Genomic DNA, 14915 nt, shown 5'->3' with positions numbered 1-14915 from the left:
GCTTGCTATTTAGACTGAAAAGGTGAATAAGTGGAATGCTTCTGTTTTTGAGACAGGAATAAAACACAACTGTGAATAATACCATCAGATAAATGGTTAAATTTTTCTTTTCATTTAGGAGGTAATGGTTGGCTTTGGAAGTGGAAGGTTAGTTTCTAGGTGCTTGAAACATTGCCATGAACAAGTCTGACAAGGCTCTTTGCTTTGGGTAGTTTACATCCTAGTGGAGGCAGACAATAAACAAGTAAACAAGTGAGTAAAGTAATTTGAGTGAGTGATAATTTATCATTGATAAATGACAGGGAAACAAATTGGAGTGCTATGAAAGCAATTGATAGGGGATTGCTGTAGATGGGGTGGTGAGGGAGGGTCTGTGGGAGGAGGCAATATATGAGCTGAGACTTGACTCATGAGAAGGAACCAGCCATGCAGAAGCCTGAGGAAGAGCAGTCTACGCCAAAACACCAATGAGTGTAAGCTGGGAAGTTGGGAAGAGACCCCGTGTATGCCACAGATCATGTGGAGCGGCCAGAAGGCCATGGTATTGGGTATATATGAGCCAGTGTTGGGTGGTGGATGTGGGTGTCAGATCATGGAAAGCCATGATAAGGTGTTTGTATTTTATTCTAAGAACAATGGGAAGCCAGTGGAGGATTTTAAGCAGGGAAAATTGATATCATATTTTTGAAGATCTTTCAGAAGGCTGCATGGTGAATAGATTATAGAAGGAAAGGAATAAAAGGGAGAGACCATATTATTTATATGTAAAGTGTTTAGCAGAATTCTTGGCACATAGCAAATGTTCAGTAAATGGTGGCAATAGTAATAGCAGCAGTAATAGTGTTATTGGTGGAAGTCAATTTAGTTGTTTTGGTTGTTTTTAGTGTAAGTCAAATTTCTTGATTGTCTGTGATAAAAGGCTTCTTTTGTCCTGACGCTATTTTTTATATGACCCATTTTCTAACATGTAAAAAAGTCTTTTTTAATAGTTATTGTGGACCATGAGTATTAACAGGAAGCAAGGAATAGGGTCAGTTGACCATTGCTCATGTGGCTGGTGGTAGAATTAAGGCAGTGATAGAAAACTGGCAACTTGCTGGATTTGGTTCAGACAGGTATTGTTGGTTGCAGAGTGCTTTTAAAAAATTGAATCTGTATTTGAAGATGGGAAAATTTTATGCAGCACTGCAGAGTCTCTGGCTTATCTAAAAAACATCCAAAGCCCTGGCCACACCTGGCCTGTATTTGCACATGGCAGCAGGCGGGCTGGAACTGAGCAGTGGCTCTCCTTCCCCAGCTGGCCACAGTCCCCACTTCTCACACAGACATGGGCTTATGCACTCAGACCTGCCTGCTTCACTCTGGTAAATTCTCTGCCAGGGCCCTGAGGGCATTTGAGTTTATGACCCTGGTGAGGGTTTCCGGATTTTGGCAGGGCCCCTCACAACAATTGTGGCAAGGATGGGAATGAGGATTTTCTGTTACTTTGAACCTGCAGCATGAGGTATTCATGACTGGGCTTGGATAGTTGGCTGGGGTTTAGCCACTGGGATTCTTGAGAAGGTCAGTTTAAATAATCACTACTGTAAAGAAGAAAAAATATTTTGACAGGTGATTTTTCATTGAGAAATATATTAGAGAGATAGGTCTGCCAGTGTATTGTGTGGTTAAAATTTTAGAGGGGATACTAGTTAAGGAGGCAATTAATTCTAGATAATATAGAAAACAGCTATTTGGGATCACCTCTTTGATAGATTGTATGCTGGGATAGGGAATTTCAGGGGAAAAGTTGTTCTTGAAAGATCAAGTATCTAAGAATGAGTATTTCTAGCAGAGTGGAAGGATATATAGCTGAATTGACTCTAACATGATGATTATGGTTAAATTTGTAAAAAACTTCATGTTAATAAAAATATTTTTACTTTAAAAAATAATTGCTGCAAGGGAAAAAGTGAGATGAGAGGCTAGAGAGGTTCAAATTTTAGTAACAAACTTCGGAACTGTTCACAAATCTTCAGCTGTATGTATACTTTGTCACTACAAGTTAAAGTAATAAATTGGGTGGTCAAACCCAAGCTTGAATGCATATCTAGAAGGTTTTTTTTAACTGTCTCAGTCTTCCTGACCCAGCAATAGCCAAATGGTTCACAGCCTTAAGAGATTAAAGAAAAAAAGCTGTTTTATCCTGTCTACCTGGTTGGTAGCTTTGGGACTGTGGCTTTGGGATTGTGGCTAGGTTATAACTGTTAGCAGTGGGCTAATGCATATTGCTTTCTCTACTTAGTGAATCACTTTGTGTTCAAGTTGCTGATGTGGGAGGAATGCCTTTATCCCTGATGATGTGCTATAAGGCTTACCAGGCATACCACATCTGACTCATAGTCTACCCTGCTAAGGGTTTGTGAGAGCCTGTCTTGGTACATGGTTGGATAGTCCTGATTTTCACTGCCTGGGATGAAAGGCTAGTTGCTAATACAGCATGTTTTTCCAAGCTGTGTTTAATTTTGTTGTTTTGGTGCCAGTTGGGATTTTGTCCACATGGGCCCATATCCCAATGAATACACCATTCCAACCTTCATGCCATCCTAATGAGCAGCTTTACAATTATGATTTTGCTTTTTCCATTTCTATTCTCTCCATTGTTTGTATTGAAGGTCAAAGGGAGAAAGTGCCTTTAACATTCAGAAAAAGGAAAGGATTTAGTAAATACTTTATTCAATATTTAGAGGATATTTAGACCAGTGGATCTCAAGCCAGAGACCATCACAAATATACCCATATTTTGGGAAAAAAAAAAGCAAGAATTTTTTAGAAACGTCCTATAATGTATTTCTAAAGTGCTACAACTCTTAATGGTACATTAGTAAAAGTTGGCCCACTGTGAGTCAAGGCATAAAGGCATAGTAGAGAGGTACATAAACCACAGCTTCTCACAGTGTTTCAACTGAAACTCTCATCTCTTAAAAATAGTCGACAGAGCAGATTAGGGTGTAGATCAGTGAGAGTGATGACATCATAGAGATATGTATCGTCAGTTAATATCAATTAATTGTCACACATTACTTATGTTTCTCCTAACTAACTGGAGGGCATTATTTTCTGATTGTACCACTTGAGAGCTGCTGGTAATACTTGTCCTTCTTGCTAAGAAGGAGATATCATCCAAAGCAAACTTTTCTTTATAAAGCTGTCCCAGAAAATAATTCAGAAGCTCTTGTATTAACTCACTCATAATGTAACAATATGACTTTGCAAAAATGCTTTTCACCTAAGTCTCTATACTTGTGATTGCACAGTTGGATATTACAGAGATATAGTTCTTTTTTTTTTTTTTTGAGATGGAGTCTCGCTCTGTTGCCCATGCTGGAGTGCAATCACGGGATCTTGGCTGACGCTGCCTCCCGGGTTCAAGCGATTCTCCTGCCTCAGCCTCCCAAGTAGCTGGGATTAGAGGCATGCACCACCATGCCTGGCTAATTTTTTTTGTATTTTTAGTAGAGACAGGGTTTTGCCATGTTGGCCAGGCTGGTCTTGAACTCCTGACTTCAGGTGATCCAACTGCCTCGGCCTCCCAAAGTGCTGTGATTACAGGTGTGAGCCACTGCACCCAGCCCCAGATAAAGGTCTTTTTGTAATAGGCATGCTTGTTATAAGCCTCTCAGTTGTTGGTAAAGCCACAGCTTAAACAAGATTGCCATTTTGGACTCTCACAGTCAGCTGGAGTAGACATGTACTTTCTGCAGTGTCACCAGAAGTAGCTCTGTGATTGTTGTTGGTTCCAGATAGTAAAATTATCTATTTATGTGTGTATATATTCTGGAGCTGGTGATTTGGGGCAGAAATACTTGGTAATCTATGATATCAAGATAATATTTGCTGATGATGGATCATTTAGTGTTGACGGGTCATTTAGTGATGACATATTTGAAAATGATCTTGAGTAGAAAGGTAGATGGTTTAGGTAGCAGGTGGCAGATAGAAACTTGCACTTGGCAATACTGACTTGGTTTTTATAGTGGTACTTCTCTAATAGAATAATAAAGCTCCATTGAGCTCAGCATCATGTATTTTAGAGGCAAGGTTTCCATTGCATAGCCTTTCTTCCACTTTTTAACTGCCTTGTTTGATGTAATTGCGGAAGCATTTTGATATTTTGTTTCCACTAGAGGGAGTTGTAAAGCTAGTATTTGTTTACATTTAGCGTGTATCCATGAAAGCATTATTTAATAATTCATATTTGAAAATATCAGAATCTTTTTAGAAGCGTACTAAGAGGTCACCTGTTCAAAGGGAATATGACCGTTAGGTATTCCATTTGCTACCCTTTCTCTTGGGAGAAGATTATTGTATGGTTTGTAACTTGAGGCCTCTTGCCTTCATGAATATTGAGGATTATAGGCTCTGAAGATAATCTGTTTAGTTAATTTAAGTTGAAAATCCTAACAAAAGGTTTACATGTTCTCTGTTTTACATTTGCCCCTGAATGTAGGCTTTTGTATGTTCTACATGGGTTATTGCAAAGTGTTTTGTTAACAAAGTTCTTTGAGTAAAATGCTCTCTTTTTTTTTCTTTTTAAGAAAGAAACATGAAGTAGAAAAGGAGGGGAGTTTATAGAATGATTCTGAATTTATTTCAACTGAAGCCTTAGAGTGGCAAATTATCTTTCTTACAGGGAAGGTATCTGTTAAATTTTTAAACTCGGTTAATACACAGTAATATCCTGTTGAGATTGCTGCTTGCTGCCAAAAAGCAGTCTGATGAATTTTAAATTAATGAGTGGTATTAAATCTTATCACTTATAAGGATTGTTATTTCTGTTCTTGAATCTGTATTTGGAAGTTTGATAGATCTTTAATGAGGAAAATTTATAGTTTCTAAATTTCTGTATTTGGTAACATGCATATCTAGATACGGCAATTTTGTGTTTTATTGCACAAGGTTAGTGACCAAAGGGCAATTTGACAATGTATATGAGGAGGGCACACTTTGATCCTGGGAAATGGAAACACTGGAGGTGGAATTTTGTTCCTGAATGGCCTTATTTAGGAGGACTTCATTTAGCTTTTCTCTGCCCTGAAACTTACAGAAGCCAGGGAATATGACCCAGCTATGCCAAAGAACTTGATGGATAAATTTTTTGAAGATCAATTTTAAAATGTTAGCATATATGTAAAATATCTTGCAAGACTCTGAATACTATAGGGATGATTTTGCTAGTTGATGTTTATGTATGTATCCAGAAGCATTTTGATTAGCTGATTGCTTATACTCAAATTAATTTTTCTCTGTGGATGCCAATTTTGTGGTGTCACAAAGCTACAATAACTGCTGAATTATTATGTAGTTTTTTGTTTTTGTGCGGGGAAAACAATGTACTCTTCAGATGTCCCTGTCAAGGCGCCCCTGAATTTTAAGGCTATGTACTTGAACCTTACTGAAGGTTTACAAGAAAATATTCTTTCTGTTCAGGAGTCTTTACTTAATGTAAGTATAAAAGATTTGTTTTATTTTTCCTTGTGTAACATGTGGGGGTAGTCTTTTTCCTTAAAGCAGTGATGCATAATTCTAGACAACAAGTGGTGCTACTTTTAAAAGACCTCATAGATGCAACTTTTTTCTCTAGTGCATTTGTGTCTTTGTAGAATTGCTTTGCTACCTTTCATTTGAGGCATGTCTTGTACAAATATGTTGATGTGTTCTGTTTTGTTTTTCATGTTGTGTCTTTTGTATTTCTTGTTTTTTATATCTCTCAGTCAACTCTGATATGGCTAATTCTCAAAATGATTTTTCAAGTACCTTGCATGTGGAGATGAGCATTTAATGAGGGTCTTGTGTGTTAATGTTAGCGTTAAAAGATTTAAAGATGAAGATAACTTTTCATTGAAGAAAATATCTTTCTCTTGTTGCATCTTTAGATGACAAATGGATTGAGAAACCCTTTAAAAAAAACCCATCCAGTGAATATGAGAAATAAATATAGAGTGAGGAAGTATTCCCACCCACCTCCAACATACTCTGTTCCCATTCCCAAATTTTATTTCACCAAAGCTCAGTTAAGAATTTGGGGCATTCCTTTCAGACCTTCCATAAAATATATTTATTTAACTTTTACTATACATATTTTGTTTAAGAAACTTTTTTTTTTGGTAATTCTTAATATAATACTCAGATATGTTTTATGGACACATTCCATTTCTTTTGTACTAATGACAGGTAAAGTGGAAAAAAAATGCTATAGACCAGGGAGCATCTCATTTTTTTTTTCCTGAAAGGTTTTACAAAGTATTTAAAGTCTTTAAAATCCACTTGCACAATGTTATGGGGTTTGATTTATGTCCTTTGGAGGGATTTAATCAAGCTGTCAATTAAACTGGTGCTTAGTTTCTTAAAGAGAAGTAATTAGAAACAGTTTCCCTAAAAAGTATTTAGTAACATAATATTTGATCTTCTAATTGTTACATAATTTAAGAAATACATTATATTGGGATTTTTAGGGTAATATTATTATATTGGGTTTTGAAGAAAGACAATAGCAGACAGTTATTGAAATCCTAAATGTTATTGAATTATGTCTAACAGACTAGCTTATTTACTCATCTTTTTATCACATTTGAAATTTGAATGAATTAATTTTGTCTATCTAGTTTATATAATAAGCAGAATGCTAAAACTGATTTTTTTCTAGAAAATAATAGGAGAGAGAAATCAAACATTTAATGTCAGATGTAGTGTCATGCTTTTGCATGTGCTATCTATAGAAAACAGTCTTCCAACTCTTCTTTTACTCAGATGTTGTATGAGAGCAGGGTATTATGTATCTTTTCATCTTTGGAATTAGATGGCTCTCTACTAATTAGTGACTCCCACGGGTTTCTACATTATCAGAGCATTTAAGAGCTTCTAGGCCACCTGCTGCTGCTGCTGTTCTCATCACCTGGCCAGAGTGCATCTGGCTACTCACATTCCCTGTGGGATGCCTAATTGTCAATTCCCCAAGGTCTGATTACTGATAAAACAGGATTCTGAGACTTAGTCTGCCTGCCCTGTGATAACATAATGCATTGATTGTACCATTATTGTGACTTGCTGTGTTTCCATAAAAAAGTTTTTGAATTCTGCTCTATGTGTATTTAAATCTGAGATCTTCGTTAAAAAAAAAAAAAGCCTTCTGATATAAATCCTAAAATTATGCATTCCCTTTTCCCCAAGTGAAATGATGAATATAATTTGTGTGGAACTTAAGAAGTTAATTAAAGGAGGGAATTATGAACTTCTTTGACCTCTACAGTAAAAAACCACTCGTTCCAAGGCAGCTTTGGCTTGGTGTCTTGTGTTTAAGTTGGTATGATATTGATGCAGACCTTTTGACTCAGTTGCAGCAGTTACTCACAGACCTTCCCCATGACATGCTGGATGACGACCTCTCCTCTCCAGAGCTCCAGTATTCGGACTGCAGCGAGGATGGCACAGACGGACAGTAAGCACCTGAAGTCACTTTCACTTGTATATTGCAATTCTATAAGTCTTTTTCTTTTGATGAAGATTAATAATTACATGATTATAAAATTGTAAATTGATTCTTAAAATTTTGGGTGAAGATTGGAAGGAAAAAGGTTAAAATCTTGGGGTTCTTTGTGTTATCTATGTACAAATAAATGATACGCTTTAAATCGAAAGTATTCCTTTTTCTCGAGACCACATCATCCTGAGCAATTGGAGATGAGCTGGAATGAGCAAATGCTGCCCAAATCTCAAAGTGTAAATGTAAGTATCTGGTGTGATGATGACTTTGGTGAGGGTGGGACTGGATCTTCGTGCTTTTGTTTTACTCTTGTTATCTAATAGGGCTATAATGAAATTCAGAGTTTATATGCTGGAGAAAAATGTGGTAATGTCTGGGAAGAAAATAGAAGTAAAACTGAAGACCGACATCCTGTGTACCATCCTGAAGAAGGTGGAGATGAAGGTGGAAGTGGTTATAGTCCTCCAAGTAAATGTGAACAGACTGATTTATATCACCTTCCTGAAAACTTTAGGCCATATACCAATGGTCAGAAGCAGGAATTTAATAACCAAGCAACCAATGTAATTAAATTTTCAGATCCTCAATGGAACCATTTTCAGGTATTGTAAAAACTTGACTTTCAAGAACTTGTGTGTGTGCACACGCATTTGCGTGATGTTTGTGTGTGTTCAGGAAATGTATGTGAGTACAATGGTAAGATGATTTAACCACACGAAGTTCTGAGAGGGCACTTATTCAGGTTCATGGTGAATTAGTCATGGTATTTTCTGTTTACAGTCTAATACAATCATGATCTTAAGTCAGAAGTTTAAAATAGAGGCTCTTTGGACATAGTTGATTAAACATTAAAAGTTAAGTCTGCCAAAGAATAACTATCCTCATTTACTGCTGCTTCTACCACTGCACTGTGCTTCAATGAGAAGCTGTGTTCAGGTCTCTTATTGTAGTTTTTAAAGCAGTAATTCTGTGTAGGTGGCAACATTTAATTTCCTCAGTTTTCTTGCTCACCACCCATAACAAATTTTAGGTTAAACATGTCAAAGCTGATATCTCTATTGTATGGTGATATAACAGTAGACAGGATGAATGTGAAGGAAAAACCAAAAAACCTTGTTTTTCCTGGGGGGGAGTTTAATGAAGTAAGACCTCAGGATATAGTTAGTTGCTTCTTAGAATTTCTCAATGACAGCAAATACCTCAACAGCTAGTCTGTGTCACGCAATGACAGGATGGATTTTTTAGGCTGTTAAGTGGTTATTTTCTCTTAATTCTATCTCCGTAGAATGTTATTATTCATCCCATAAGAGTTACTATTTATTAGATATGAGGCACCGTGGTCCATGTTCATGTTATTGGATATGTGCATTTTTATATTCCCAAGATGTTGGCATAATCTAAATCATTTGTAATAAAATATTTCTATATAGTCTTATTGGAATTCTTGGGTTTTATTTATAAAATTGCCTTCATTGTGTGCTCAAAAGTAGAATTTAGGTGTCTATAAATTATGTATTGCAGACTTTCAATTAATAGTGTTAAATAACAATACGTGCTACTTTTGAGCAGATATATATATGTGTGTGTGTGTGTGTGTGTGTGTGTGTGTGTGTATATATATAAACAACTTTGAACTGTACCAAAAGTAAGTTCTGTAACGTAACATTAATTTAGGTGTCTAATTCAGATAATTTTGGAAGAAAAGGCCAAATCTTAATTGTCAGTTTCATTTGTTATCACAGGGTCCCAGTTGTCAAGGTTTGGAACCGTATAATAAAGTGACATATAAACCTTATCAGTCTTCTGCCCAGAATAATGGCTCACCAGCCCAGGAGATAACAGGAAGTGACACATTCGAAGGCCTGCAACAACAATTTTTAGGAGCTAATGAGAGTAGGTATCAAGTTTATATTTATTTTTTAATACCACATAATTGGGGAAATTTGAATACACAATGAATATTTGAGCACATTCAAGAATTATTATTTTTTAAGTATGACAATAGAATTGTGCTTGATATTTCAAAGAGCCCTTATTTTTAGAGATATATACTAGAGTATTTATGAATAAACTGACATGAAGTCTAGGATTTACTTTAAAATAATAGGCTGTTGAGGGGTAATGTTGGGTGGGAATATAGATGTGGCCAAATTGGCCATGAGTTCATAATTGTTGAATCTGGGAGATGGGTTCGTGGAGATTCATCATATTATTCTCTTTACTTTCTTATATATTTGAAATTTTTCGTAATGAAAAGTTAAAAGACATTTTTCCAACTTTATATTTCAGTCATTCTAGTTTGTTAAGCCTTTTCTCCTTATTTGTATAGTGTTAAGTATCCTCGCCTATCATACAGGATACCTGGACTTATTTGAAATTTAAAAAAATTTTAAAAGACTTTTTATGAACTTTATATATTTTTTTGACTGAAGCCTAATTTGGAAAATGAAACATAGTTTTCAATCTCAGATTTTTGACTATATAGAAGTGTAATTTAATACATCAGCACTATCATCAACTTTTTTCTTTTGATTTTACAGTTTTTAGTCAACTCTGATATAAATTAGTTTATATTCAGAATTACTTAGATATCAGGTTCAGTCATGTGGCATTTGCCAGTTTTTTTTGTATAGTATGTATATAAATATGAGAATGAAAAAAGTGCTTATAGGTACTAGAGAATTCTGAGATGAAATGCTAGTATCAAAAAACAAAAATCCCAAAATATAAACCCGTATAGTGACTGTACTGAATTACTCTTGTCATACTGTCTGGCACACTAAATAGCTTCTAATTATTGTGCATATTGAAGAGCCAGTGTAATTCTAGAGTGTGGCAGCAAGTGTTTTTGTTTTACTTTTTGTTTCCCTTTAATTAGTAGGGGAAAGGTCATACTGGATATTCTGGCTTACCTGGGCTATACCAAAGAGAAAACTGGACTTTTGGGTTGTGACTTCATATTGTTGCTTCCATCGTACACTGGGACGGCAGGGTAGTTACAGGGGGAGGCCCAGAATTCATTTTCCCCTGAAGGAGTCAACAGCAAATATGAGGATGGCCTCTCTTTGTTCTTAAGTTTTTTGTGGAATGAGGAAGTGGACAGTGTATATGACATAACTGGTTTTAGGTTGAGTAAATGAACCTCACAGCAGTGGCCTGACATCTCCTTAGTGTTTACTCTTTCAGTTCCCTTGAAAAGTTGTATTTGTATCTCCTGGTCTTTCTGCATATAAAAACCTTTCCTTACCTTTCTTAACACTCTGCACTTCTTCAAGTTGAGTCAGTTACACATTTGTCTAAATTTGACATTTGGAAGTTAATTAAATAACTTAATGGTAGTGCCAAATTAGTGATTATAGTTTCTTAGCAACAGTAATTTAAAAAATTTGGAGATGGGGCTAGCTCTACTATAAGACCTATGAGGAGTTTGACTTGTATAAACTTTTCAGTCTTTAATTTTCTTTATTTAACCAGATCTCTTTCTAAAAAGAGGACAGAATTATTTAGTTAGCAAGTGGTTAAAACTCAGTAAATGCATTTATTTCTGATTGTAAGCTAACAGAAACATTGTTCTAGTAGTAAGTAGAATATTTATCATTATGTAGTTGAAGCATACCTACCAATCCTTTTTTCCATTTTTTTTCTCTTTTTAAAGTGGTCCCCAAATGACTAATTGTTTCTAAAAGAAGACTTCAAAAATTTTTTTTTAAATTATGTATTCGTGGAGTAGATTTGGAGGTTTGTTATATGGGTATATTAAATAATGCTGGGGTTTGACTTCTAGTGAACCCATCACCCAAATAGTGAACATAGTACCCAATGGATAGTTTTTCAACCCTTCTCCCCTGCTCCCTCCCCAAAATTCTTGATTAATCTATTCACTAGCTAATTAATTCAGTTATGTGCCAGCATCAATATAAATATAATATTTTCCCCACTCCTGCCTAAAATAAAATATTTTGAGGCTGTCTAGAAATTTTCTTTAAAAATGATTTTATAGAAGCTGATGTACTTGTTTTGTTTTTAATTTTCTGACAGCATATTACTTTATTTCATTGCAGTTGTTATATACTGATTTTTAACTGGCTAAAATGGTAGTTAGTGATTCAGGGTTATAACTTAAACCAGTGACTTTCAAACTTTCCTATCAGTGACCCACTGTAAGAACTATATTTTTTTACATTGTGATATGGTGTACAACATGTATCTATATGAACAGGTATATATAAATGAAACAAGTTTCACAAAATAAGACTGTTTCTTACTACATGATGCACTCTGATATATTCTCTCTCTCTTTTTTAATCCTAGTCACAATTCACTGAATTGATTTCATGATGCTCTAAAAGGTTGTAGTCACAGTTTGAAAAACACTGCTTTAAATGACTATAAATTTATATTTTGGTATGTTTTTATCTAATAAATTGTCTTTAATTCCCAGACTCTGCAGAAAATATGCAGATTATTCAACTTCAGGTTCTTAACAAAGCAAAAGAGAGACAACTGGAGAACTTAATTGAAAAGTTAAATGAAAGTGAACGTCAAATTCGATATCTGAATCACCAGCTTGTAATAATAAAAGGTAAGATGCTGGATGCTGTCATTTATGAGGTACACTGAGTTAGATATCTTGTTTCCAATAACCTCAGATTACATACGAAGCTTAGAGAGTAAAAACACTTGGTCAGAGGGCTCATAGTGAGTGAGGCATAGCAAAACAAAACCCAGGATTTCTGAGTGTTGGCCTTGGATTACTTCTCTTTGGAACACGCTGTTTTGGAGACCAGGCATGGTGGCTTACGCCTGTAATCCCAGCACTTTGGGAGGCTGAGGTGGGCGGATCACTTGAGATCAGGAGTTCAAAACCAGCCTGGCCAACATGGTGAAACCCTGTCTCTACTAAAAATACAAAAATTAGCGGGGCATAGTGGCAGGCACCTGTAATCCCATCTACTTGGGAGGCTGAAGCAGGAGAAGGAGAATCACCTGAACCTGCAGGCGGAGGTTGCAGTGAGCCGAGAAAGCGCCATTGCACTTCAGGCTGGGTGACAGAGTGAGACTCTGTCTCAAAAAAAAAAAAAAGACACTCTATTTTGGAGTCCCTATATTTTCCCTTTTCTCACTTAGGCTTTTAGAATCATTGAACATTATTTAACTGTACTGATGGCATTCTGTCCTAAAAAGTTGTTGATTCCTTATGTCTGATTCCTTATGTCATTACTCTGGATGAAGTATTCCAGCTTTCAGAGTGATTTGTGTTTAGTTTGCACTGCAGCGTTTCCTGAGGCTACAAATTAGCATAAACGTTTTAATCCAAATAAGAGTTAGTGATTGTGAAGTGCCATGTCTGGGATAAACACACAGAGTAAATACAGATTCAAATTATAATTGCTTACTCCTTGTGCTTTCTCTAGTTTTGGTCCACGTTGAACTTTCATTTGCAGAATACTTTTGTGATTGAACTCTAGCTCATTTCAAATTTAATTGATGGTAAAAATGTCTCTTTCTGTAATGCTCATAACATTTATTTTGAGAGAAGAACTTGTGAGCTGTTATAGCAAAGTATGTGGGAAGAATTTAACATTAGGTGAATTTAAGAGTTCATTCCAAGTGGGTCGGGCACGGTGGCTCACTCCTGTAATCCCGGCACTTTGGGAGGTCAAGGAGGGCGGGTCACGCGGTCAGGAGATCGAGATCATCCTGGCTAACATGGTGAAACCCCATCTCTACTAAAAATACAAAAAATTAGCTGGGTGTGTGGTGGCGCCAGTAGTCCCAGCTACTCAGGAGGCTGAGGCAGGAGAATGGCGTGAACCTGGGAGGCGGAGCTTGCAGTGAGCCGAGATTGCACCTCTGCCCTCCAGCTTGGCGACAGAGCGAAACTCCGTTTCAAAAAAAAGAGTTCATTGCAAGTATGTGTAGGATAATTAGTCCTCAGATAACTTCTTTGATTAGCAGGGATTTGTCCCCAAAAGGGATGCAATAATAGTTTTAAAGGAAGTAGTTCTGCTTCTCTAAAAAAATTTTTTTGGTATCAGGTTTGTTTTTTTTTTTAATTTTTAATTTTTAATAATTTATTTATTTGGGGCTGGGTGAGGTGGCTCACGCCTGTAATCCCAGCACTTTGGGAGGCCAAGGTGGGTGGATCACTTGAGGTTAGGAGTTCGAGACTAGCCTGGCCAATATAGTGAAACCCCATCTCTACTAAAAATATAAAAATTATCTGGGAGTGGTGGCAGGTGCCTGTAATCCCAGCTACTGGGGAGGCTGAGGTTGTAGTGAGCCAAGATTATACCACTGTACTCCAGCCTGGGCGACGGAGTGAGACGCTGTCTCAAAATAAATAAATAAGTAAGTAAGTAAATTCTTTATTTAGTTTTCTCTAAATCAACTAAAGTTCATTTTTCTGAATTAAATTTAATTCAACAACATTTATATATGATACAGACGTGACATCTGATTGGGATTGTGACATTGGGGTCCCTCTACAGGAACATTATTTATATAAACATTTTTAATACCGTAGATGAAAAGGATGGTTTGACTCTCAGCCTTCGAGAATCACAGAAACTCTTTCAGAATGGAAAAGAAAGAGAGATACAGCTTGAAGCTCAAATAAAAGCACTGGAGACTCAGATACAAGCATTAAAAGTCAATGAAGAACAGGTACCTATTTTAACTTATGTATGGTAAAAAAATTAAAAGTTTAGTTATTTAACAAAACTTTTTGTAGGGTAGGACTAAATTTAGAAGAACTTTGAAGTTATTGACAAAGCATTAGAACTTAAATTTCCTGACTGCAATAGTTTGCTTCAGAATTGGTATCCCGAGAAGCTTTTATTTTTATTTTTCCTGCTGCTTCTCCATTTGGAGAACTGTTTTTTAAACTTGAGTTTAAAGTGGTGACACATTCACATTCTTTGATTAATGAGATAGCCATTTGATTTTTGGAAATAGTCATAAGTCATTGGTAGCTAAGCCTGGTGGTGGTTGATTCATTTTTTGGCAGGGGGCAGGGTTAAAAATGAAAGTGATGGCCGGATGCAGTGGCTCACGCCTGTAATCCCAGCACTTTGGGAAGCCGAGGCGGTCGAATCACCTGAGGTCAGGAGTTTGAGACCAGCCTGGCCAACATTGTGAAACCCCGTCTCTATTAAAAAGTACAAAAATTAGCTGGGCGTGGTGGCAGATGCCTGTAATCCCAGCTACTCTGGAGGCTGAGACAGCAGAATCGCTTGAACCCAGGAGGCGGAGGTTGCAGTGAGCTGAGATTGCTCCATTGCACTCCAGCCTGGGGGACGAGAGCGAGACTTGTCTGAAGAAAAAAAAAATGAAAGTGACTATGAAATAATGAGCTTGGTTTTGAGTGAGACTTGTAGCTAAGTCTGAGGAT

The 14915-nt window shown here is 36.4% G+C and overlaps 1 protein-coding gene across 13 annotated transcripts in view, besides 2 other annotated features; it reads left to right on the top strand.

Moving 5' to 3' along the window:
- CEP152 (centrosomal protein 152) overlaps positions 1-14915 on the top strand; it is an 81987-nt gene that overhangs the window by 5645 nt on the left and 61427 nt on the right. For all 13 annotated transcript variants that reach the window (XR_931769.4, XM_047432254.1, XM_047432253.1 and 10 more), the window contains exons 3-8: positions 7374-7477; positions 7695-7764; positions 7846-8124; positions 9265-9415; positions 11964-12104; positions 14049-14188. Coding sequence is in view for 12 of the 13 variants with exons in the window: in XM_047432254.1 (XP_047288210.1) it covers positions 7374-7477; positions 7695-7764; positions 7846-8124; positions 9265-9415; positions 11964-12104; positions 14049-14188 (885 nt within the window). In the remaining variant the exon portion in view is untranslated. The remainder of the gene's footprint in view (positions 1-7373; positions 7478-7694; positions 7765-7845; positions 8125-9264; positions 9416-11963; positions 12105-14048; positions 14189-14915) is intronic.
- Positions 6657-7196: an enhancer, noted in NCBI's record as "OCT4-NANOG hESC enhancer chr15:49090426-49090965 (GRCh37/hg19 assembly coordinates)". NCBI's record gives its function as "activates a minimal SCP1, AML or CMV promoter by ChIP-STARR-seq in primed H9 embryonic stem cells {active_cell/tissue: H9 hESC(primed)}" and the evidence as "EXISTENCE:reporter gene assay evidence [ECO:0000049][PMID:30033119]".
- Positions 10313-10592: an enhancer, noted in NCBI's record as "active region_9377". NCBI's record gives its function as "activates an Ori minimal core promoter by ATAC-STARR-seq in GM12878 lymphoblastoid cells {active_cell/tissue: GM12878}" and the evidence as "EXISTENCE:reporter gene assay evidence [ECO:0000049][PMID:35858748]".

The sequence above is a fragment of the Homo sapiens genome, chromosome 15, assembly GCF_000001405.40.
Source record: "Homo sapiens chromosome 15, GRCh38.p14 Primary Assembly".
Taxonomy (NCBI): Eukaryota; Metazoa; Chordata; class Mammalia; order Primates; family Hominidae; genus Homo; species Homo sapiens.
Note: the sequence above shows the minus strand (reverse complement) of the source record. Positions and strands in the feature narration are given on the sequence as shown.